Source organism: Homo sapiens, chromosome 19 (assembly GCF_000001405.40).
Source record: "Homo sapiens chromosome 19, GRCh38.p14 Primary Assembly".
In the NCBI taxonomy this organism is placed as follows: Eukaryota; Metazoa; Chordata; class Mammalia; order Primates; family Hominidae; genus Homo; species Homo sapiens.
Genome location: NC_000019.10, coordinates 52719819 through 52743352, shown reverse-complemented (window position 1 = coordinate 52743352; position 23534 = coordinate 52719819). Strand labels below are relative to the sequence as shown.

General features: G+C 48.8%; 1 protein-coding gene and 1 long non-coding RNA gene across 5 annotated transcripts in view, besides 3 other annotated features; one reads left to right on the top strand and one right to left on the bottom strand.

Moving 5' to 3' along the window:
* Positions 7336 to 8321: an enhancer, noted in NCBI's record as "NANOG-H3K27ac hESC enhancer chr19:53238285-53239270 (GRCh37/hg19 assembly coordinates)". NCBI's record gives its function as "activates a minimal SCP1, AML or CMV promoter by ChIP-STARR-seq in naive H9 embryonic stem cells {active_cell/tissue: H9 hESC(naive)}" and the evidence as "EXISTENCE:reporter gene assay evidence [ECO:0000049][PMID:30033119]".
* Positions 7649 to 9322, bottom strand: LOC124904760 (uncharacterized). Its single transcript, XR_007067328.1, has 2 exons — positions 8893 to 9322; positions 7649 to 8559 (listed from the first exon to the last, which is right to left on the bottom strand). It is a non-coding gene; the product is annotated as an uncharacterized LOC124904760 (long non-coding RNA).
* Positions 7894 to 8023: an enhancer, noted in NCBI's record as "active region_15056". NCBI's record gives its function as "activates an Ori minimal core promoter by ATAC-STARR-seq in GM12878 lymphoblastoid cells {active_cell/tissue: GM12878}" and the evidence as "EXISTENCE:reporter gene assay evidence [ECO:0000049][PMID:35858748]".
* Positions 8204 to 8273: a silencer, noted in NCBI's record as "silent region_10998". NCBI's record gives its function as "represses an Ori minimal core promoter by ATAC-STARR-seq in GM12878 lymphoblastoid cells {active_cell/tissue: GM12878}" and the evidence as "EXISTENCE:reporter gene assay evidence [ECO:0000049][PMID:35858748]".
* Positions 8309 to 23534, top strand: part of ZNF611 (zinc finger protein 611) — a 32232-nt gene continuing 17006 nt past the window's right edge. For 2 of the 4 annotated variants that reach the window (NM_001161501.1, NM_001161499.2), the window contains exons 1-3: positions 8309 to 8352; positions 13348 to 13447; positions 14522 to 14623. The gene's annotated coding sequence lies outside the window, so the exon portion shown is untranslated. Of the gene's footprint in view, positions 8353 to 13347; positions 13448 to 13470; positions 13523 to 14408; positions 14430 to 14521; positions 14624 to 23534 lie in introns of those variants that run through there. The other 2 variants (NM_030972.3, NM_001161500.2) reach the window with 2 other exon arrangements.

Below are 23534 nucleotides of genomic sequence, written 5' to 3'. Positions count from 1 at the left end.
TGATTACTTTTGTGCCTTTGTCATCCACTCTCTGGATCCTAGTGAGCACAAGGCCCCAAGGGGAGGGCGGAGCAAGAACTTGGGGCTGTGCTGGGCTCGCCCCATCTGAGTGGAGCTCAACCCTGGCTTCACATTAGAGTGCAGAGCATTTTGCAAATAGAGCTTTTGTGTTGCTTTAGCAGGGATTCTTATTCTGATGGGTTGGAACCCACCCTCAGTAATACCTGCAGTGGCGCAGGTGCTTGTCATCTGTGTGCAGCATTGAGCATGGAAGCTCTGTGTCCTCCATTTCTGAGTGCTGAGCTCAGCCTGTGATCCACAGAGAGTGAGGGGCTGTCCTCCAGATGGGGATTGATGAGGGATGAGGGACGAGTCTGTGCCGAGGGGAGATCAATCCAGCCCAGCTCCCCCCCGCCCCCCCGTTACCTCGTATGTGGGTGTTTTCTAGGAGGGGAGTGAGATCTGAAGACCTGGGTCAAATATACACTTGTAGGTCTTCCTGTGGGACTTTCTTATCTCTGCATGATCTCTGGTGCAGTGGGAAGCAGACGACCATCTTTCTACGGGTGAAATCTCTCCTGTCTGTGGGTTTTTGCCCCAGGAAGGGAATGAGTCATTTCTAACATGAAGTCTCATATTTTTTTTTGTGGGGAGAAGAAAGAGAGATCAGATTGTTACTGTGTCTATATAGAAAAGGAAGACATAAGAAACTCCATTTTGATCTGTATGAAGCAAAACTGTTCTGCTTTGAGATACTATAAATCTGTAAATTTAGCCCCAACCCTGTGCTCACGGAAACATGTGCTGTATTGAATCAAGGTTTAATGGATTTAGGGCTGTGTGGGCTGTGCCTTGTTAACAGTATTTTTGCATGCAGTATGCTTTGTAAAAGTCATGCCATTCTCCATTCTCTATTAACCAGGGACACAATGCACTGCGGAAAGCCACAGGGACCTCTGCCCAAGTAAGCCTGGGTATTGTCCAAGGTTTCCACCCACTGAGACAGCCTGAGATATGGTCTTGTGGGAAAGGAAAGACCTTATATCCCCCAGCCCAACACCAGTGAAGGGTCTGTGCTGAGGAGGATTAGTGAAAGAGGGAGGCCTCTTTTCAATTGAGATAAGAGGAAGGCATCTGTCTCCTGCTCGTCCTGGGAATGGAATGTCTAGGTGTAAAGCTGACCATTCTTTGTATTCTGAGATAGGAGAAAACTGCCCTGTGGCTGGAGGTGAGATATGCTGGCAGCAATACTGCTCTGTGACTCTTTGCTACGCTGAGATGTTTGTGTAAAGTGAAACATAAATCTGGCCTACGTGCACATCCAGTGAAGGGCGCCAGCCCCTCCACACCTGTGAGTATTTCTCATCAGGTGGGACGAGAGACAGAGAAAAGAAATAAGACACAGAGACAAAGTATAGGGAAAGTACAGTGGGCCCAGGGGACCAGCGCTCAGCATACGGAGGACCCGCACAGTCTCTGAGTTTCCTCAGTGTTTATTGATCATTATTTTTACTATCTTAGTGAGGGGAGTGTAGCAGGGCAACAGGTGGGGAGAAGGTCAGCAGGGAAACATGTGAACAAAGGAATCTGTATCATGAATAAGTTCAAGGAAAGGAACTGTGCCCCAATGTTCACATAGGCTAGATTTATGTTTCTCTTCACCCAAACATCTCCGTGTGGGAAAGAGTAACAGAGCGGTATTGCTGCCCGCATATCTCGCCCCCGCCCACAGGGCGGTTTTCTCCTATCTCAGAATAGAACGAATGGGAATGGTCAGCTCTATACTGAGACATTCCATTCCCAGGGATGAGCAGGAGACAGAAGCCTTCCTCTTATCTCAACTGCAAAGAGGCCTCCCTCTTTCACTACTCCTCCTCAGCACAGACCCTTTATGGGTGGGCTGGCAGATGGTAAGGCCTTTCCTATCCCATGAGGCCATATCTCAGGCTGTCTCAGTGGGGGTAAACCTTGGACAAAACCCAGGGTTTCTTGGGCAGAGGTCCCTGCGGCTTTCCACAGTGCATTTTCTCCCTGGTTAATTGAGAATGGCGAATGGCGATGACTTTTACCAAGCATACTGCCTGCAAACATGGTTAACAAGGCACATCCTGGCCGGGCATGGTGGCTCACGCCTGTAATCCCAGCACTTTGGGAAGCCGAGGCGGGTCAGGAGTTCGAGACCAGCCTGACCAACATGTTGAAAACCCGTCTCTACTAAAAATACAAAAATTAGCCGGGCGTAGTGGCCGGTGCCTGTAATCCCGGCTACTCGGGAGGCTGAGGCAGGAGAATCGCTTGACCCAGGTGGCAGAGGTGGCAGTGAGCCGAGATCATGCCACTGCACTGCAGCCAGCACGACAAAATGAGACTCCACCTCCGAAAAACAAAACAAATCAAGGCACATCCTGCACAGCCCTAAATCCATTAAACCTTGATTCAATACAGCACATGTTTCTGTGAGCACAGGGTTGGGGCTAAAGTTACAGGTTAACAGCATCTCAAAGCAGAAACAATTTTTCTTAGTACAGATCAAAATCGAGTTCCCTTTTCTACATAGACACAGTATCAATCTGATCTCTCTTTCTTTTCCCTACAATCCAGGCACAGTACATTTCCTTAAGCTTATTCACGATACAGATTCCTTTGCTCACGTTTCCCTGCTGACCTTCTCCCCACCATCACCCTGTTGCCCTGCTGCACTCCCCTTGCCAAGATAGTAAAAATAGTCATCAATAAATACTGAGGGAACTCAGAGACCAGCGCTGGTGCGGGTCTTCGCATGCTGAGTGTGCCTGTCCTTTGGGCCCACTGTTCTTTCTCTATACTTTGTCTTTGTGTCTTATTTGTTTTCTCAGTCTCTCGTCTCCACCTGACGAGAAATATCCACAGGTGTGGAGTGGCAGGCCCCTTTCATTTTTCACATTCGGGATTGATTTCTAAAGACTAATGTTACATGAGGAAGCAGCTCAGAAGAGGAAAGGAAAGGAGCCAGGGCTGGCTCTTCCTCAGGTGAAGTGATATTCCTCTGTGGATTAATCTGTGTCTTTCTTTTCTGAAATGCCAGGTATTGTAGCAGCCAGTCTTTTCCGAGTCTGAAGCATTTTGCCTGACACATTCACTCACACTCACCCATGCCTGCCCTCAGTTCCTCTCAGCTGCTCTGAGATTCCATCTCCTGTGACCCAGTGACAAGAACTTCTTAAGAAGCTCCACTGGGCATGGTCCTGGGAGGGGCTCACACCCAGACATGGATGGACACGGGGTGTGGGCACCATGGTGTCAGTGCTGCTGGGCAGCCTGGATGGTTCAGGGGCCACATCTGGATGTCAGCTCTTTGTGGACCAGATCAGAGAAATAACATGTGAAATATATATGTTAATGTGCACAGATAACCGGTAAATTCTGAAAAAGAGACCAATAAGGGGAGATATTTTGTATCTGATTTACTAATGCATTTGACTCCACAATTTGGGGGCGGGGCCTGGTTAGAAGGTGGGGGCGGGGCCTGGGGTGAGTCAAGAGGGAGGAGGCTGGAGGCCAGGCTGGACAGCGGGTCGGTGCTGGGGGGCCGGAGGTTTACCCTGGTCTTGGAGGCGGGGCCTGAAATGGGGTGTTGTTCTTAAGGGCGGGGCCTGGCAGCGATGCGTCGGGGCTCTCTCCTCAGCTGGGTCCATGATGTGGCCTGCTGTCATCCTCTTGATCTCCAGCACTCGATCCCCCGGGTTCTGATTGGTGGATTGTTTCTGATGTGCCGTCATATTACCCCTAATATCACAGGGAGGCTTCCTGCCCGTTTTCAGTTAACATTTCAAACAATCGAAGGTAAAATAACATTTGGTAGTGGGCCATTTTGTACTGAATGCTGAATCGTTTTTTCTCCCAAGTTGAAAATGGTTTTAAGGCAAAGTGCCTTTTTTGAGCAGGTGGAGTCGCGCGTCCTGCAGGCGGGGCAAGCTCCCCTCAGGCTGGGACAGGTTGGGGTACAGGGGCAGGTACCTCGGTAAAGGGGTGGAGTGGGGCGCTGCTTACAACGGGGACTGATAATTTGAATGGCTTAGTAAACCAAGCAAGGTCCTGGGTTGTTTGAGCGGATAATGAAAGTAGAAAGGTGACATATAGAACTGCCTATTATACACAGAAGGTGGAAGAAAATTTCTTATTTCATGGAAATAAAGCCAGAACTCCGAGCGGTGGGTCACACCTGTCATCCCAGCACTTTGAGAGGCCAATGCCGGAGGATTGCTTGAGCCCAGGAGTGTGTGATCAGCCTGAGCAACATAGTGAGACCTCGTCTCTACTAAAAATAAAAAAACTCAGCCAGGTGTGGTGGTGCACACCTGTGTTCTCGGCTGCTTTGGGCACTGAGATTGAAACATCACTTGAGCCAGGGAGTTGGACGCTGCACTGATCCCTGATCTCACTAGCACACTCTAACCTGGATGACAGAGCTGGACCCTGTCTCAAACAAACAAGCAAATAAGTGAGAGGCATAATTCCTCCTTCGAAAATAAAGTAAGAGATTTTCTTTCCTGTAGACTCTTTTCTTAGGACATTTATTTAGAAAATGTGTAAATGAATTTTCTCTGTCTTCTGAAACAGTATTTTTTTTTTTTTGAGATGGAGTTTCGCTCTTGTAGCCCACGCTGGAGTGGAATGGCGTGATCTCCGCTCGCGGCATCCTCTGTCTCCCAGGTTCAAGAGATTCTCCTGCCTCAGCTTCCCGAGTAGCTGGGATTGCAGGCATGTGCCACCATGCCCAGTTAATTTCGTATTTTTAATAGAGAAGGGTTTTTTCCATGTTGGTCAGGCTGGCCTCAAACTACGACCTCAGGCGATCCGCCCGCCTCTGCCTCCCAAAGTGCTGGGATTACAGGCGTGAGCCACCGCGCTCGGACAGAAATGGAATTTTTTTAGAAACTAACTAAACCGCTTTTTAGCTTAATGACCCAGGAATGTATTTCCGAAGGACTTGGGAGCTCTGTCTGAAAGGCAAACAACAGAGATAGCACTTGTGTCTCAGTAGGAAATTAAGTAATTCAAATATCAAGTGATTCCAATTTAAAGCCATGGACCTTTAAATAATTCTGAGCCTTGAGAGGAATGTGGTCATGCAACCTGAGTTCAGAGGAATGCAGGCGCAACTTCTAGGAGTTTTTCTGTAAATAATTTGGAAAACTGGCCGTGAACAGTGGGTCACGCCTGTCATCCCAGCACTTTGGGAGACTGATTCTGGCAGATCACGAGGTCAAGAGATAGAGATTATACTGGCCAACATGGTGAAATCTCATCCCTAAAAAAAATACAAAAATCAGCTGGGCATGTTGGTGCTTGCCTGTAGTACCATCTATTCGGGAGGCTGAGCCACGAGAATTACTTGAACCAGGGAGTCGGAGGTTGCAGTGAGCCGAGATTGCACCACTGCACTCCAGCCTGGTGACAGAGCGAGACTCCATCTCAAAATAAATAAATAAATAACAATAACAATAAAAAAATTAGGAAGACTACAGAGCCCCAGTGATAAGACCTCCTCAGAGCATTGTCCCTTCTTATGTAATGATAAAGTAACTTTCCTTGAAGTGTATCAAATCATCACCAGTCAAGTTGCTGCAGCCTGTGCACTGGTCTTGAATGGAAAGTGTGGTGATTCTGCTAAAGCTTCTCTGTCTTTCCCTGTGTGTGAAACCTTAACGTCTCTACTTGGGAACGCTGATCCCATTCATTTGGAGTTGATGTTTCCAGGTGGCTTTCTTCAAGCTCTGTGTTCACATTAACTCTGTACTTAATCATATACTTTAAATTTTATTATTTACTGCTGACATCAGTGTCTGTCGTATGGTAGGAGCCTCACCAGAGAGGGCACCTGTCGCCATGTTGTAAAACTCACACTTGCCAAAAAGACATGGGTTAGAGTTTCTCCCCCTCCCTCAGGATGACGCTAGTTAGCTGACACAGATGGTCACCTCCATTACCAAGTAGAGCCAGGATGAACTATGTGTGACCAAGGGTGTTGTCAAGTCCTCTTCCTTGAGGACTGATTAGTATTTATCTTGAAAATATGTCCTTAATGGGTTGTATAGAACAGTGAAGTTTCTTTCTCTCTTTTCAATCTTTTAGCTGTTTGCCTCTATTTCCCATCACATTCTGGTCTAAGGTTTATTTATTAATAAAATGGTTTTTATTTCTTTCTCTGTTATCGTCGTGGAGATGATTTCTCATTTGGGAGGAGACTTTTTAGTTTTCAGTTATATTTTGTCAACATTTAAAAAGCGAAGCAAAGAATATTTCTGCGGCATGGCACGGTGGCTCACGCCTGTAATCTCAGCAGTTTGGGAGGCGGAGGCGGGTGGATCACGAGGTCTAGAGATCGAGACCATCCTGGCCAACATGGTGAAACACCGTCTCTACTAAAAAAAAATACAAAAAAAAAAAAACCCAAAAAAATTAGCCAGGCGTGGTAGCGGGAGCCTGTGGTCCCAGCTACTCCGGAGGCTGAGGCAGGAGAATGGCGTGAACCCGGGAGGCGGAGCTTGCAGTGAGTCGAGATTGCGCCACTGCACTCCAGCCTGGGCGACAGAGTGAGACTCCGTTTAAAAAAAAAAAAAAAAAAAAAAAGAATATTTCTGGCCGGGCGCGGTGGCTCACGCCTGTAATCCCAGCACTTTGGGAGGCCGACGCGGGCGGATCACAAGGTCAGGAGATAGAGACCGTCCTGGCTAACTCGATGAAATCCCATCTCTACTAAAAATACAAAAAATTAGCCAGGCATGTTGGCTCACGCCGTAACCCCAGCACTTTAGGAGGCTGAGGCAGGCAAATAACTTGGAGTGAGGAGTCCGATACCGGCCTGGTCAACATGGTCAACCCCGTCTCTACTAAAAATACAAAAATTAGCCTGGCATGGTGGCGCACGCCTGTAATGCCAGCTGTTCCCAAGGCTGGGGCAGGAGAATCGCTTGAACCCAGGAGGCAGAGGATGCATTTAGTCGAGATCTCGCCACTGCACTCCAGCCTGGGCAACAGAGAAATACTCTGTCTCAAAAATAATAATAATAATAATAATAATAATAATAATAATACAAGAAAGTAATAGATCTCTTCCATAAATGTGCTAGGACAACTATCTGGATATCCACATGGAAAAGAATAATGTTGGATCCCTATGTCACACAATCAAAAATTTTATTTGCGAAAGTTTTTTTTAAAAAAAAAGAGAGAGAGAGAGACAAGAAAGGGAGACCGCGGCAGTGGGCGTTATTTTGTCGCTCAGGCTGGCTTGGAACCCGAGGCTCAGGGATCCTCCCGCCGCTGCTTCCTGAGTAGCTGGGACCTCAGGCTCCCGCCCCCGCGCCTCTGCTGTCTTTAAGCAGCAGGTGGTGACCTCACTCCTTCTCGGCCTGAGCACTCCGTCCGGCATTCCAGGCGGTGGCTTCAGGGAAGTCTCTGAAGCTGAGCACAGGGCGGAGTCTCCTTCCGGAGTGAATGGACAATAGAAAGGGAGAGGATATCTATCTGTTCTGTGGGACCTCAGCATGACATGGTACATACCGCCCAGGCAGGGCTTTGCATTTCACATTCTAGTTTGTATCCCTGTTCCAGACAATTACAGTGTAGCAGGACGAGTCGCAGACAAAACCTCTCAGACACCGAGTTGTAGAAGGAAGGGCTTTATTCAGCTGGGAGCATTGGCAAGCTACTGCCTTAAAATCCAAGCTCCCCGAGTGCACAATTTCTGTCCCTTTTAAGGGCTCACAACACTAAAGATTTCAGATGAAAGGATAGTGACTGATTGAGCAAGCAAGGGATACGTGACAGGGGCTGCATGCACCGGTGATCAGGGAGAGAGAGAACAGGGCAGGAGTTTCACCGTGTTCTTCTATACAATGTCTGGAATCTATGCCTAACATCAGCTTCTAAATCATAAGTTGATTTTTAACTACTGGGTTTAGGCCAGGCGGATCCAGGCCTGGTTTCGGGCCTGGCGCGGGGCTGCCTGTCTTTGGTTTTACTTCCTGTTGTTTTTACTGACTATAAAACAATATAAAACAATGTCAGAGGGTCTCTCTCTTCTCTCAACAGGGCTTTTGTATCATGCCTCAGACTTTCTGGCGCTCTCGCCTCCAAAACCTGAAAACAGAGACGCTGGGAGCGAGGCTGAGAGACGCGCAGATCCCGCCCCGGCCCTGCCCTCTGCCGGTTCTAAAAGGCAAGGTCTCTCCGCCTCGCGCCCCGCCCCTACCTCGCCCAGGCCCCGCCTACCTCCCACTTCCCGCCCAGGCCTGGCTTTTGTCCTGCGCGCGCAGATTAACGCAAACCCGGAAGCGGATCGGGTGGAGTGTAGGTCATATCGCCGCGGTGAGTTTTGCTCTGTGTTGTATTAAGTCTGCGCTAACTAGGTTCCCAGGGCTTCTGTCCCTGGGACGTGGGGTCCCCACAGACCTGGAAATTCTCCGGCGTCTTCCTTTGCCCAGAGCAAATTGAGACATCCCCGTGAGAGCCCGAGGGTCGCTTCCTTTTGGGTTTAAAGTCGTCCTGAGGCTGGTCTCGTCCCCGGTCTTTCTGCTATAGGTCAATGTATACACTTTCTGTTGCGTAGTTTTCCTGCTGAAAACCTTGTTCTGACTCCTCGCGCCCCGCGCTTTTTAAAGTCTTCACCCGCGATGTGGATTCTTGCCCAGGGCGCCTCCCAGCCTCCCCCTCCTCAGCCCCGGGAGCGCCGCGCCGCAGCCCCAGTCCCGGGGAGGCCGAGTCCTCTGCCAGGTCCTGGGATCCTGCAGACCCCATCCTGGTCCTAAGGCGCCGTCGCGCCCCCCCCCCCCGCCCCGCACCTTCCTCCTCATGCCGGGGCCTGCTGCTCCCCAGGTCTCCCCTCCGCAGTCACCGCTTTCATTGAACCTGCACTGGGGAGGTCCCAGGGGCCTGTCCTGCGGCACGGGGTATTCTTGCCTGCGGAGCTCCAGGGCGTGGAAAATGCGCTCCTCCGGGATGCAGGCGTCTTACTCCAAACCGTGTTGCGATTGTGTGGGCCAAAGGAATCAGGAGACAGAGAGCAGTAGAAAACCTGAGGCAGAGAAAAGAAGAATAAGAAAGGCCCATAACAGATGGCAAAATAGAGGATTGGTGAGGGATATGCCAAGAGATGGCAGAAGTGAAAAAAAAAAAAAAAAACCTAAGAAAGCAGGAGGAGAAAAGCAACCGGAGAAATGTAGAGAAAGGCTAGATAGATGTACAGAGAGATGAAGGATCACAAGGTAGGGGGAGTGGCAGCAAAGAGGGAGACTCATCAGAGTGAGGGAGAGAGGGAAGGATTTGGAGCCAGGGCAGACAGAGCAGAGTGGTGCTTGTGTCAAGGAGAACAGAGGGAGAACCACAGCAGAGAGGACAGCTGGGATCTGGGGAGACACAGAGTGGGGACAAGGGAGTATATCGGGGAAGATGGAATTTAACAGGGAGAGCAGAGGAGGCGCAGAGATGGGAGAAGAGGCAGAAATAGATGGAGATTGAGGACGATTGAAAGATTGGGGAGAAGGAGCAATAAGAGGTTAAATAAGTTGTGAGGATGGAGGAGAAGAGGTGGAAGAGAAGGAATAAAGGGAAGAAGGGGATGAATAGCAGGAGAGGAGAGGGGTACAAAATGAAGAGCAGAATCCCAGGGAAAAAGAAAAGAAAACAAGAGCTAGAGAGAGAAGGGGAGAATGAGAGATATGTACAGAATTAGGGAGGGAAGCACAGTAATGAAGAAAGAGGGTCTGGACACAGTGGCTCACGCCTGTAGTCTGTAGTCTCCACACTTTAGGAGACTGAGGCAAGGGGATTGCTTGAGTCCAGGAGTTCGAGACCAGCTTGGGCAACATAGTGAGACCTCCCCCCCGCCAAAAAAGTAAGTAAATAACCGGGCATAATGGTGTGCACCTGTACTCCCAGCTGCTCTGGTGGCCAAGCTGGGAGGATGACTTGAGCCCAGGAGGTCCAGGCTGCAGTGAGCTGAGATCATGTGACTACACTGCAGCCTGGTCGTCAGAGCGAGACCTTGTCTCCAAACAAAAAAAAAGGGGCGAGAGACTGGGTTCAGATGAGTGGGTGAGTTCATTGGATATGATTGGTTGTGACATGTTGAGTTCTGTATATATAATCTAATAACTAAAAACTTGTTTAAATTACACAGATGAGATTGAGAATTTTAAAATTCGTATCTATAAGACATGTACATTCTATAAATCTTGGCATCAGAGGTTATGTTCCACTTGGAATCCCTATTTGCCAGAGGGCAGTCACTTATTCAGTTGTGAATCACTGTCTCCCCTTTTCCTAGGATGGGGTAGGACGTGGGTCAGTGAAGTGGGAAAATAGTCACTGTCTGTTGTTACAAAATACATTTAATTAATTAATTAATTAATATTTTGAGACAGGGTCTGACTCTATCACCCAGGCTGGTGTGCAGTGGCGTGATCTCCTCTAACTGCAGCCTCGACCTCTTAAGTTCAAGCCATCCTCCTTCCTCAGCCTTCTGAGTAGCTGAGACCAGAGGCATGAGCCACCAAGCCCGGCTAGTTTTTGTATTTTTTTTTTTTTTTGTAGAAACGGAGTTTCACTATGTTTCCTAGGCTGGTCTCAAAATCCTGGGCTCAAAGGATCCTCCTGCCTTGGCCTCCCAAATTACTGGGATTACGGGTGGGATTACAGGGAGGAGCCACCGTGTCTGGCCTACTTAGCCCTCAATACATTGAGTTATTCTGAATAACTCAATAACTCAATACTGTGAGTTATTCAGAATAACTCAATACTGTGAGTTATTCTGAATAACTCAATACTGTGAGTTATTCTGAATAACTCAATACTGTGAGTTATTCTGAATAACTCAATACTGTGAGTTATTCTGAATAACTCAATACTGTGAGTTATTCTGAATAACTCAATACTGTGAGTTATTCAGAATAACTCAATACTGTGAGTTATTCAGAATAACTCAATACTGTGAGTTATTCAGAATAACTCAATACTGTGAGTTATTCAGAATAACTCAATACTGTGAGTTATTCAGAATAACTCAATACTGTGAGTTATTCTGTTTTCTTTTTTCTTTTTTGAGATGGAGTTTTGCTCTGTCACCCAGGCTGGAGTGCAGTGGCACGATCTCAGCTCACTGCAAGCTCCGCCTCCCGGGTTCACGCCATTCTCCTGCCTCAGCCTCCGGAGTAGCTGGGAGTACAGGCTCCTGTCACCACTACCAGCTAATTTTTTGTATTATTAGTAGAGACAGGATTTCACCGTGTTAGCCAGGATGGTCTCAATCTCCTGACCTCGTGATCCGCCCGCCTCAGCCTCCCAAAGTGCTGGGATTACAGGCGTGAGCCACCCGCCCGGCCATTTTTTTTTCTTTTTTTGAGAGGGAATTTTGCTCTTGTTGCCAAGGCTGGAGTGCGATGGCATGATCTCAGCTCACCACAACCTTGGCTTCCTAGCATCAAGCGATTCTACTGCCTCAGCCTCCTGAATAGCTGGGATTACAGGCATGCACCACCACGCTCGGCTAATTTTGTGTTTTTAGTAGAGACAGGGTTTCTTCATGTTGATCCAGGCTGGTCTCTAACTCCCGACCTGAGGTGATCCACCTGCCTCGGCCTCCCAAAGTGCTGGGATTACGGGCGTAAGCCACCACGCCTAGCCCATAGTAGTTTTCAAAAGGGACATCAGGGCACGGTGGCTCAAGCCTGTAATCCCAGCACTTTGGGAAGCCAAGGTGGGTGGATCACGAGGTCAGGAGTTCGATACCAGCCTGGCCAACAGAGTGAAACCCCATCTCTACAAAAAAAAAAATACAAAAATTAGCCGGTAGTGATGGCAGACTCCTGTAATCCCACCTACTCAGGAGGCAGAGGTTTGTTTGAACCCGGGAGGCAGACGTTGCAGTGAGCCGAGATTGCGCCACTGCATGCCAGCCTGGGCAACAGAGCTAGAGTCCGTCTGAAAAAAAAATAAAGAAAAAGAAAGGAACATCAAAGCCAGGCGTGGTGGCTCATGCCTGTAATCCTAGCACTTTGGGAGCAAATCACTTAAGGTCAGGAGTTTGAGACCAGCCTGGCCTACATGATGAAACCCTGTATCTACCAAAAATACAAAAATTAGCTGAGCGTGGTGGCACACGCCTCTAATTTCAGCTACTCTGGAGGCTGAGGCAGGAGAATTATTTGGACCCAGCTGGGAGGCAGAGGTTGCAGTGAGCCACGATCGCACCACGGCACTCCAGCCTGGGTGACAGAGTGAGACTCTGTCTCCCCCACCCCCAAAAAAAAATAGCCAGGGGTGGTGGCATGCATCTGTAGTCCCATCTACTTGGGAGGCTGAGGCAGGAGAATCATGCCACTACACTCCAGCCTGAGTGATAGAGCGTGACTTGGTCTCAAAAAACAAACAAACAAAAAGAAATAACAATCAGCTCTTTAATGTCTCTCTTTATAAAAGCAGTAGTCTTGGCTGTGTGCGGGGGCTCACACTTGTAATCCCAGCACTTTGGAAGGCTGATGCGGGTGAATCACCTGAGGTAGGTGGTTCGAGACCAGCCTGACCAAAATAGAGAAACCCCGTCTCTACTAAAAATACAAAATTAGCTGGGTGTGATGGTGCATGCCTGTAATCCCAGCTACTCAGGAGGCTGAGGCAGGAGAATTGCTTGAACCCAGGAGGCAAAGTTTGCGGTGAGCCAAGATCGTGACATTGCACTCCAGCCTGGGCAACAAGAGGGAAACTCCGTCTCAAAAAGTAAACAAATAAATAAATAATAAAAATAAAAGCACTAGACCTATTCATGTGTAGTCAACACCCATGACCAAATTCTCTCACAGGCCCCATCTGCAGGAACATCCTATTGGACACAACTCTGAACATCGCTTTTGGCCAATATAATCTTTCAGACCAAGGAGCCTACATCATGTTTTTTTTTTTTTTTTTTTTTTTTTTTTTTTTTGAGACGGAGTCTGGCTCTGTCGCCCAGGCTGGAGTGCAGTGATGCAATCTCGGCTCACTGCAACCTCCACCTCCCGGGTTCATGCCATTCTCCTGCCTCAGCCTCCCGAGTAGCTGAGACTACAGGCACCCGCCACTATGCCCGGCTAATTTTTGTATTTTTAGTAGAGATGGGGTTTCACCATGTTAGCCAGGATGGTCTCGATCTCCTGACCTCGTCATCCGCCCGCCTCGGAATCCCAAAGTGCTGGGATTACAGGCTTGAGCCACCGCGCCCGGCCTACATCATGTTTTTTATGGTTTTATTGTGCAATTTGTTTTATACAATGTTTTCTGTGATCTCAGTTGATAAATTTTCCCAGTACACTTTCTATATTTTTTGCACAGTTGACTAGATAACGAAGGACAATGCATATATACAAAATTGCTGTATTGCCTGGTGATATGCAGCTGTACCTGTGACATCATAATTGCACCCTCCGACATGGTTAGTCAGTTCTTATTCCTTATAATGCTGTGTATTTACTTGAACTCATACATCAGAAGATAGTGATCTTAACACGTATTTCAATTCTTATATTGTGTGCTGGTGATAAGCAAAAGTTGTGGCTTTTTTCTTAAGAGGGAATTGTTTAGAATTCTGCAGCCTATATAAATGTACTTATTTGCTTGCTGGTTTTATCATGGGTTACAATAGTTTACTGACTAATATTTAAGATTTCACATATGGCTTTTCAGTATGTGATATGTAATATAACTGATACACTGCACTTGTTAATTTCAATAAGTGCCTGTTCTGTGTGGTTATAGGTAATTTTATGACAGGTATTCAGAAAAATATTGTATTAACATTGTTTTCTTTTTCTTTCTTTTCTTTTTTTTTTTTTTTTTTTTTTTTTTGAGATGGAGTCTCGCTCTGTCACCCAGGCTGGAATGCAGTGGCGCAATCTTGGCTCCCTGCAACCTTTCCCTCCCAGGTTCAAGCGATCCTTGTGCCTCAGTCTCCTGAGTAGCTGGGACTGCAGGCGCAAGCCACCATGCCTGGCTAATTTTGTAATCTTTTCTTATCTTCTTTGTGCTATGATTATTTGACAATACAGCATTTCCATTGATTTTGGTTACCCTTACATGAGCTTGTTGTGGATTATTTACCAGTATAGTATATTTTGTGGTCCTTTAGCATTTATTTGTATACAGAAGATATTCTGTAAATATGAAGAATATATACTTTTCATTAATGTGACAGTGATATGTTTTTTGCAAACTGTGATGCACTTTAGGGTCACAGTGGAAAAACAGTCCTTACTTTAGGCTTACACATGTTGGTGCCCTGTCAGTGTTTTGTCATGGTATTGGAAATAGGCTTCCATAGAAATGATTTGAAGGACATGTAATCTCCCTTTATTTATTAAAGAATCTTACTCCTTTTATGTTCCTAAACTTTGAAGATTATGTTTGGGAAGTTTAAAGTAAGTATTGTTTATTGTGTCATATTTACACATTTCAGTATGATTTACCGTCTGGACTTAATTGGAAACGTATTGGTGTTTATATTTTGTAGATATCTCTTCCAAATGCTTGATGAAAAAGGTGGGAGGATCACTTGAGCCAGGGAGTTGAAGGCTGCAGTGAGCCCTGTTTTTGCCACCACACTCCAGCTTGGGTGAGTGAGCTACACCCTATCTCAAACAGACAAGGAAGTAAATGAGAGGTTTAATTCCTCCTTTGAAAATAAAGAAAGAGATTTTCTTTCCTTTCATTTCTTTTCTTAGGAGATTTATTTAGAAAATTTGCAAATGCATTTTCTGTTTTCTGAGGGTAGTATTCTTTCTTTCTCTTTTCTTTTCTTTCTCGGACATGGAGTTTCACTCTTGTTGCCCAGGCTGGAGTTAAATGGTGCGATCTCGGCTCACTGCAATTTCTGTCTCTCGGGTACATGTGATTCTCCTGCCTCAGCCTCCCAAGTAGCTGGGACTACAGGCACCCGCTGTAATGCCTGGCTGATTTTTATAGTTTTGTAGAGATGGGGTTTCACCATGTTGGCCAGGCTGGTCTTGAACTTCTGATTTCAGATGATCCTCCAGCCTCGGCCTTCCAGAGTCCTGGGATTACAGGCGTGACCCACCACGCCCGGCCCAGGGATGTATTTCTGAAGAACTTGGGAGCTCACTTTGACAGGCAAACAACGGCCAGGTGCAGTGGCTCACGCCTGTAATCCCACCACTTTGGGAGGCCAAGCCTGGCCAATCCCGAGGTCAGGAGTTCAAGACCACCTGACCAACATGGTGAAAACCTGTCTCTACTAAAAATTCAAAAAAATTAGCCGGGTGTGGTGGCACATGCTTGTAGTCCCAGCTACTCAGGAGGCTGAGGCAGAATTGCTTGAACCTGGGAGGCAGAGGTTGCAGTGAGCTGAGATTGCACCACTGCACTGCAGCCTGGGCAACAAAGCGAGACTCCGTCTCAAAAAAAAAAAAAAAAAAAAGGCACACAACAAGATAGATAGTACCTGTGTCTCAGTAGGAAATTAAATAATTCAAACATCAAATGATTCAAATTTAAAGCTATGGACCTGTAAATAATTCTGAGCCTTGAGAGGAATGTGGTCATGCAAGCAGAGTCTAGCGGAATGCAGGTGCAACTTCTAAGAGTTTTTCCTGGCTGACCCTGGTGGCTCAAGCCTGTAATCCCAATACATTGATATGCCAAGGTGGGCAGATCACTTGAGGTCAGGAGTTCGAAACCAGCCTGGCCAGCTTGGTGAAACTCTGTCTCTACTAAAAATACAGAAAAATTACAGGCGCCTGCCACCACGTCCAGCTAATTTTTGTGTTAGGGTTAGTGTTAGGGTTTCTCCCCCTGCCTCGGGATGAAGCTAGTTAGCTGACAGAGATGGTCACCTCCATTACCAAGTAGAGCCAGGATGAACTATGTGTGACCAAGGGCTTTTCAAGTCCTCTTCCCTGAGGACTGATTAGTGTTTATCTTGAAAACATGTACTAAATGGGTTGTATAGTAACAGTGACGTTTCTTTCTCTCTTTTCAACCTCTTAGCTGTTTGCCTTTATTTCCCATCACATTCTGGTCTAAAGCTTATTTATTAATAAAATAGTTATTCTTTCTTTCTCTATTATCATCGTGGAGATGATTTCTCATTTGGGGCAAGACTCTTTGTTTCTCAATTATATTTTCTCACATTTAAAAAGTGAAGTAAAGAATATTTCCTGGGCCAGGCACAGTGACTCACGAGTGTAATCCCAGCACTTTGGGAGGCCAAGGCAGGCGGATCACTTGAAGTCAGGAGTTCTAGACCAGCCTGGCCAACATGGTGAAACCCCATCTCTACCAAAAATACAAAAGTTAGCTGGGCATGGTCATGTGCGCTTGTAATACCAGCTACTCCAAAGGCTGAGGCAGACGAATAGCTTCAACCCAGGAGGCAGAGGCTGCAGTGGGCCATGATCTCACAACTGCACCCCAGCACGGGCCACAGAGAAATACTCTGTCTCAAAAGTAAAAGGAAAGAAAAAAGTAAAAAAAGAGAAAGTAATTGATCTCTTTCACAAACGTGCGGGACAACTAACTGGATATCCACATTGAAAAGAATAATGTTGGATCCCTGTGTCACACCATGAAAAATTTTGTTTAAAAAGAAAAAAAAAAAAAAAAACACAAGGCCGAGCATGGTGGCTCACACCTGTAATCCCAGCACTTTGCGAGGCTGAGGCAGGTGGATCACGGGGTCAGGAGATCGAGACCATCCTGGCTAACACAGTGAAACCCCTTCTCTACTAAAAATACAAAAAAGTAGCCGGGCATCGTGGCGGGCACCTGTAGTCCCAGTTACTCAACTCTCAGGCAGGAGAATGGCGTGAACCCGGGAGGTGGAGCTTGCAGTGAGCCAAAATCATGCCACTGCACTCCAGCCTGGGTGACAGAGCAAGACTCCGTCTCAAAAAATAAAAATAAATAAAAAGGAAAGAAAAGAAAAAGAGCGCGCGAGAGAGACAATGAAGAGAGCACTGCGGGAGGGGGTGTTACTTTGTCGCCCAGGCTGGCCTGGACCCCCAGGTTCAGCGATTCTCCCGCCGCTGCTTCCTGAGTAGCTGGGACCTCAGGCTTCCGGCCTCACGCCCGCATCCCTGCTGCGTTTAGGCAGCAGGTGGTGACCTCACTCCTCCCTGGCCTGAGCACCCAGTCCCGCATCCCAAGCAAAGGCTCTAGGGAAGTCTCTGAAGCTGAGCACAGGGTGGACTCTCCCTCCTGAGTGAATGGAGAATAGAAAGGGAGAGGAGTTCTGTTCTGTTCTGTGGGCCATCAGCATGAAATCGTATGTTCCGCCCAGGCAGGGCTTTGCATTTCACATTCTAGTTTGCATTCCCGTTCCAGATAATTCCAGGGCTTTTGTATCATGCCTCAGCCTTCCTGGCCGCTCTCACCTCCAAACACCCGAAAAACAGAGGCGCTGGGTGCGAGGCGGAGAGATGCACAGGTCCGGTCCCGGCCCCGCCCTTTGCCTGTTCTAAAGGGCAAGGTCTCTCCGCCTCGCGCCCCGCCTCTGTCCCACCCAGGCCCCGCCACCATGTTCGGGGGCCCCACCCGGGACTGGCTTCTGTCCTGCGCAGCAAACCCGGAAGTGGATCACGTGGAGTAAAGGTCCTACCGAGGCGCGTGAGTTTTGCTCTGCCTTGTATTAAGTCTGCACTTCCCAGGTCCCTGGCACTTCTGTCCCTGGGACGTGGGGTCCTCACAGACCTGGAAATTCTTGCCTGTCTTCCTTCACCCAGAGCAAATTGAGACGCCCATAAGAGTCTGGAAGTTGCTTCCTTTTGGGTTTGAAGTCGCTTGGAGGCTGGTCCCGTCCCCGGTCTTTCTGCTATAGGGCAATGTATACACTTCCTATCGCATAGTTTTCCTGCTCAAAACCTTGTTGACTCATCCTGCCCCTTGCTTTTTAAAGTCCTCACCCGTGCGCTGGATTCCCGCCCTGGGCGCCTCCCAGCCCCCGTCGGCCTCCCCTGGAGCGCAGCGCCGGGGCCCCAGTCCTGGGGAGGCTGGGTCCTCTGCCTGGTCCTGGGAGCCTGCAGGTGCCACCCATGTCTTAAGGCGCCGTCTCCCACTATGTCCCTCCTCGTGCCGGGCCCTGCTGCTCCCCAAGTCTTCCCTCCGCAGTCACCGCTTCCCCTGAGCCAGCGTTGGGGAGGTCCCAGGGCCTTGTCCTATGACACCGGGTGTTCTTGCCTGCCCAGCTCCACCTCCTGGAAAATGCGCTTCTCCAGGATGTAGGCCTCTTACTCCAAACCCGCGTGTGATTGTTTGGGTCAAAGAGATGAGGAGATAGAGAGAGGGACTGAGAGAGCAGTAGAAAACCAGAGACAGAGAAAAGAAGAATGAGAAAGGCCCGTAACAGATGGCAAAGTAGAGGATGGGTGAGAAATTTGCCAAGAGACAGCAAAAGTGAAAGAAAAAATAAGAAAGCAGGAGGAGAAAAGCAACTGGAGAAATGTAGAGAAGAGCTAGATGTACAGAGATGAAGGACAAGATAGGGAGAGGGGCAGCAAAGAGGGAGGCTCACCAGAGTGAGGGAGAGGAGGAGGGATTTGGAGCCAGGGCAGACAGAGCAGAGTGGTGCTGGTGGCACGGAGACCAGAGGGAGAACCACAGCAGGGAGGACACCTGGGGATCTGGGGTGCTAGAGAGTGGGGACTGGGGGCTGTAACAGGGAAGAGAGAATTTAACAGGGAGAGCAGAGGAGATGGAGAGATAAGAGAAGAGGCGGTAATATATAGAGATTGAGGACGATTGAAAGATTGGGGAGAAGGAGCAACAAGAGGTTAAATAAGGTTTGGGGAAAAAAAAGAGAGATCAGACTGTTACTGTGTCTATGTAGAAAGAAGTAGACATAAGAAACCCCATTTTGGTCTGTACTAAGAGAAATTAGTCTGCTTTGAGATGCTGTTAATCTGTAACCCTAGCCGCAACCCTGTGCTCACAGAAACATGTGCTGTGTTGACCCAAGGTTTAATGGATTTAGGGCTGTGCAGGCTGTGCTTTGTTAAAATGTGTTTGCAGGCAGTATGCTTGGTAAAAGTCATCGCCATTCTCCAGTCTCGAGTACCCTGGGACAGAATACACTGTGGAAGGCCGCAGGGACCTCTGCCCAAGAAAGCCTGGGTATTGTCCAAGGTTTCTCTCCACTGAGACAGCCTGAGATATGGCCTCGTGGGAAGGGAAAGACCTGACCATCCCCCAGCCAGACACCCGTAAAGGGTCTGTGCTGAGGACGGTTAGTGAAAGAGATAGCCCTCTTTGCAGTTGAGATAAGAGGAAGGCCTCTGTCTCCTGCTCCTCCCTGGGAATGGAATATCTTGGTGTAAAACCCAATCGTATGTTCTGTTTACAGAGATAGGAGAAAACTGCCTTATGGCTGTAGGTGAGACATGCTGGTGGCAATACTGCTGTTTACTGCACTGAGATGTTTGTGTAAAGTCAAACATAAATCTACCCTACATGCACATCGAGGTACAGCATCTTTCCTTAAACTTATTTATGACACAGAGAGCTTTGCTTACATGATTTCCTGCTGACCTTCTCCCCACCATTACCCTACAGTCCTTCCACATCCCCCTCTCTGAGATGGTAGAGATAGTGATCAATAAATATTGAGGGAACTCAGAGACCTCGGCTGGTGCGGATCCTCCGTATGCTGAGTGCTGGTCCTCTGAGCCCACTGTTCTTTCTCTATACGTTGTCTCTGTCTTATTTCTTTTCTCAGTCTCTCATCTCACCTGATGAGAAATACTCACAGGTGTGGAGGGGCTGGCCCCCTTCAATAAGGACCAGACGCTGTGGCTCATGCCTATAATCCCAGCACTTTGGGAGGCTGAGGTGGGCGGATCACCTGAGGTCCAGAGTTTGAGAGCAGCCTGACCAACATGGAGAAACCCCGTCTCTACTAAAAATACAAAATAAGGCAGGCACGGTTGCACATGCCTGTAATGCCAGCTACTAGGAAGTCTGAGGAAGGAGAATTGCTTGAACCTGGGAGGCGGAGGTTGCAGTGAGCCAAGATCGCACCATTGCACTCCAGCCTGGGCAACAAGATGGAAACTCCGTCTCAAAAAAAAAAAAAAAAAAAAGGTTAAATAAGTTGTGAGGATGGAGCAGAAGAGGTGGAAGAGAAGCAATAGAGGGAAGAAGGGGATAAATTGCAGGAGAGGAGAGAGGTACAAAATAAGGAGCACAATCCCAGGGAAAAAGAAAAGAAAACAAGAGCTAGAAAGAGAAGGGGAGAATGAGAGATATGCACAGAATTAGGGAGGGAAGCACAGTAATGAAGAAAGAGGGGCCAGGCGCAGTGGCTCATGCCTGTAATCCCAGCACTTTAGGAGACTGGGACAGAGAGATTGCTTGAATCCAGGAGTTCAAGACCAGCCTGGGCAAAATAGTCATTGCCCCCATCTCTATCAAAAAAAAAAAAAAAAAAACGAAAACAAAAACCAGGCATGATAATGTGCACCTGTAATTTCAGCTACTCTGTAGGCAGAGGCTGGAGGATCACTTGAGCCCAGGAGGTCCAGGCTGCTGTGAGCAGAGATCATGCCACTGTACTCCAGCCTGGTGAAAAGAGCAAGACCCTGTTTTAAAAGAAAAAAAGGGTGGGGGACTTTGGATACAGATGAGTGTGTGAGTTCATTGGATATGATTAGTTGTGACATGTTGACTTCTGTGTATATAATCTAATAACTTGTTTAAATTATACAGATGAGTTTGAGAATTTTAAAATTCCTATGTGAGTCATGTACATTCTATAAATCTTGGTGTCAGAGGTTAGCTTCCACTTGGAATCCCTATTCAGCCCGAGGGCAGTGACTTACTCAGTTGTGAGTCAGTTTCTTCCCTTTTCCCAGGGTGGGGTAGAAAGTGGGGCAGTGATGTGGGGAAAAAGAAAAAAACAACTTTCTGTTATTACATAATACTTTTAATTAATTAATTAATTAATTAATATTTTGAGACAGGGTCTGGCCCTATTGCCCAGGCTGGAGTACAATGGCGTTATCTACTCTAACTGCAGCCTCGACCTCTTAGGCTCAAGTGATCCTCCTCCCTCAGTCTCCTGAGTAGCTGAGACCACAGGTGTGAGACACCAAGCCCGGCTAGTTATTTATTTATTTTTTATTTTATTTTATTTTTTTTGTAGAAACGGTTTCAGTATGTTTCCCAGGCTGGACTGAAAATCCTGGGCTCAAAGGTTCCTCCTGTCTTGGCCTTGCAATGTACTGGGATTATAGGGATGAGCCACCGCACCTGGCCTACATACTAATTATTATTATTATTATTTTGCAGTGGAGTTTTGCTCTTGTTGCCCAGGCTGGAGTGCAATGGCACAATCTTGGCTAATGAGTATCTCTGCCTTTAGGGTTGAAGCGATTCTCCTGCGATACTACCCCCTGAGTAGCTGGGATTACAGGCATGGGCCACCGTGCCCTGATAATTTTGGATTAGGAGGCTGAGGCAGGAGAGTCACTTGAACCCAGGAGGCAGAGGTTGTGGTGAGCTGAGATCGCATCATTGCACTTCAGTGTGGGCAACAAGAGCGAAACTCCATCTCAAAAAACAAAAAAAAGCTCTCCCTCTCCCTCTCTCTCTCCCTCTCCCTTTCCCTCTCCCTCTCCCTCTGCCTCTGCCTCTCCCTCTCCCTCCCTCTCTCCCTTTCCCCTCTCACTTTCCACGGTCTCCCTCTGTTGCCGAGGCTGGACAGTACTGCCGTGATCTGGGCTCGCTGCAACCTCCCTGCCTGATTCTCCTGCCTCAGCCTGCTGAGTGCCTGGGATTGCAGTCACAAGCCACCAAGCCTGACTGGTTTTTGTATTTTTGGTGGAGACGGGGTTTCGCCATGTTGGCCGGGCTGGTCTCCAACCCCTGACCTCCAGTGATTTGCCCGCCTTGGCCTCCCGAGGTGCCGGGATTGCAGACGGAGTCTTGCTCACTCAGTGCTCAATGTTGCCCAGGCTAGAGTGCAGTGGCGTGATCTTGGCTTGCTACAACCTCCACCTCCCAGCCGCCTGCCTTGGCCTCCCAAAGTGCTGAGATTATAGCCTCTGCCCGGCCACCACCCCATCTAGGAAGTGAGGAGCGTCTCTGCCTGGCCACCCATTGTCTGAGATGTGAGGAGCCTCTCTGCCCGGCTGCCCAGTCTGGGAAATGAGGAGCACCTCTGCACGGCCGCCATCCCATCTAGGAAGTGAGGAGCGCCTCTGCCCAGCCACCACCCCGTTTGGGAAGTGAGGAGCGTCTCTTCCTGGCCGCCCCGTCTAGGAAGTGAGGAGCCCCTCTGCTCGGCTGCCCTGTCTGGGAAGTGAGGAGCGCCTCTGCCTGGCCGCCCCGTCTGGGAAGTGAGGAGCACCGCTGCCTGGCCTCCCCGTCTGGGAAGTGAGGAGTGCCTCTGCCCGGCCGCCCCGTCTGGGATGTGAGGAGCGCCTCTGCCTGACTGCGACCCTGTCTGGGAGGTGAGGAACGCCTCTGCCCAGCCACCCCATCTGAGAAGTGAGGAGCATCTCTGCCCGGCCGCCCCATCTGGGAAGTGAGGAGCACCTCTGCCCAGCCGCCACCCCATCGGGGAAGTGGGGAGCACCTCTGCCTGGCCACCCCGTCTGGGATGTGAGGAGTGCCTCTGCCCGGCCACGCCATCTGGGAGGTGGGGAGCGCCTCTGCCCAGCAGCCGCCCCGTCTGAGATGTGAGGAGCACCTCTGCCCGGCTGCCCCGTCTGGGAGGTGAGGAGCGCCTCTGCCCAGCAGCTGCCCCGTCTGGGAAGTGAGGAGCGCCTCTGCCCGGCTGCCCCATCTGGGAGGTGAGGAGCGCCTCTGCCCGGCCGCCCCATCTGGGAGGTGAGGAGCGCCTCTGCCCGGCCGCCCCATCTGGGAGGTGAGGAGCGCCTCTGTCCAGCAACCGCCCCTTCTGGGAAGTGAGGAGTGCCTCTGCCCGGCCGCCCCATCTGGGAAGTGGGGAGCGCCTCTGCCCGGCCGCCCCGTCGGGGAGGTGGGGGGCGCCTCTGCCTGGCCGCTGTGCAATCTTCCAAGTGTGAAGTGACAGCCTTTCTGCAGGTGTACCCAACAGCTTATTGAGAACTGGCCATGATGACGATGGCGGTTTTGTCGAAAAGAAAAGGGGGAAATGTGGAGAAAAGCAAGAGAGATCAGATTGTTACTGTGTCTGTGTAGAAAGAAGTAGACATAGGAGACTCTATTTTGTTCTGTACTAAGAAAAATTCTTCTGCCTTGAGATGCTGTTAATGTGTAACCCTACCCCCAACCCCGTGCTCTCTGAAACGTGCTGTGTCAACTCAGGGTTAAATAAATGGATTAAGGGCGGTGCAAGATGTGCTTTGTTAAACAGATGCTTAAAGGCAGCATGCTCCTTAAAAGTCATCACCACTCCCTAATCTCAAGTACCCAGGGAGACAAACACTGCGGAAGGCCGCAGGGACCTCTGCCTAGGAAAACCAGAGACCTTCATTCACGTGTTTATCTGCTGACCTTCTCTCCACTATTGTCGTATGACCCTGCCACATCCC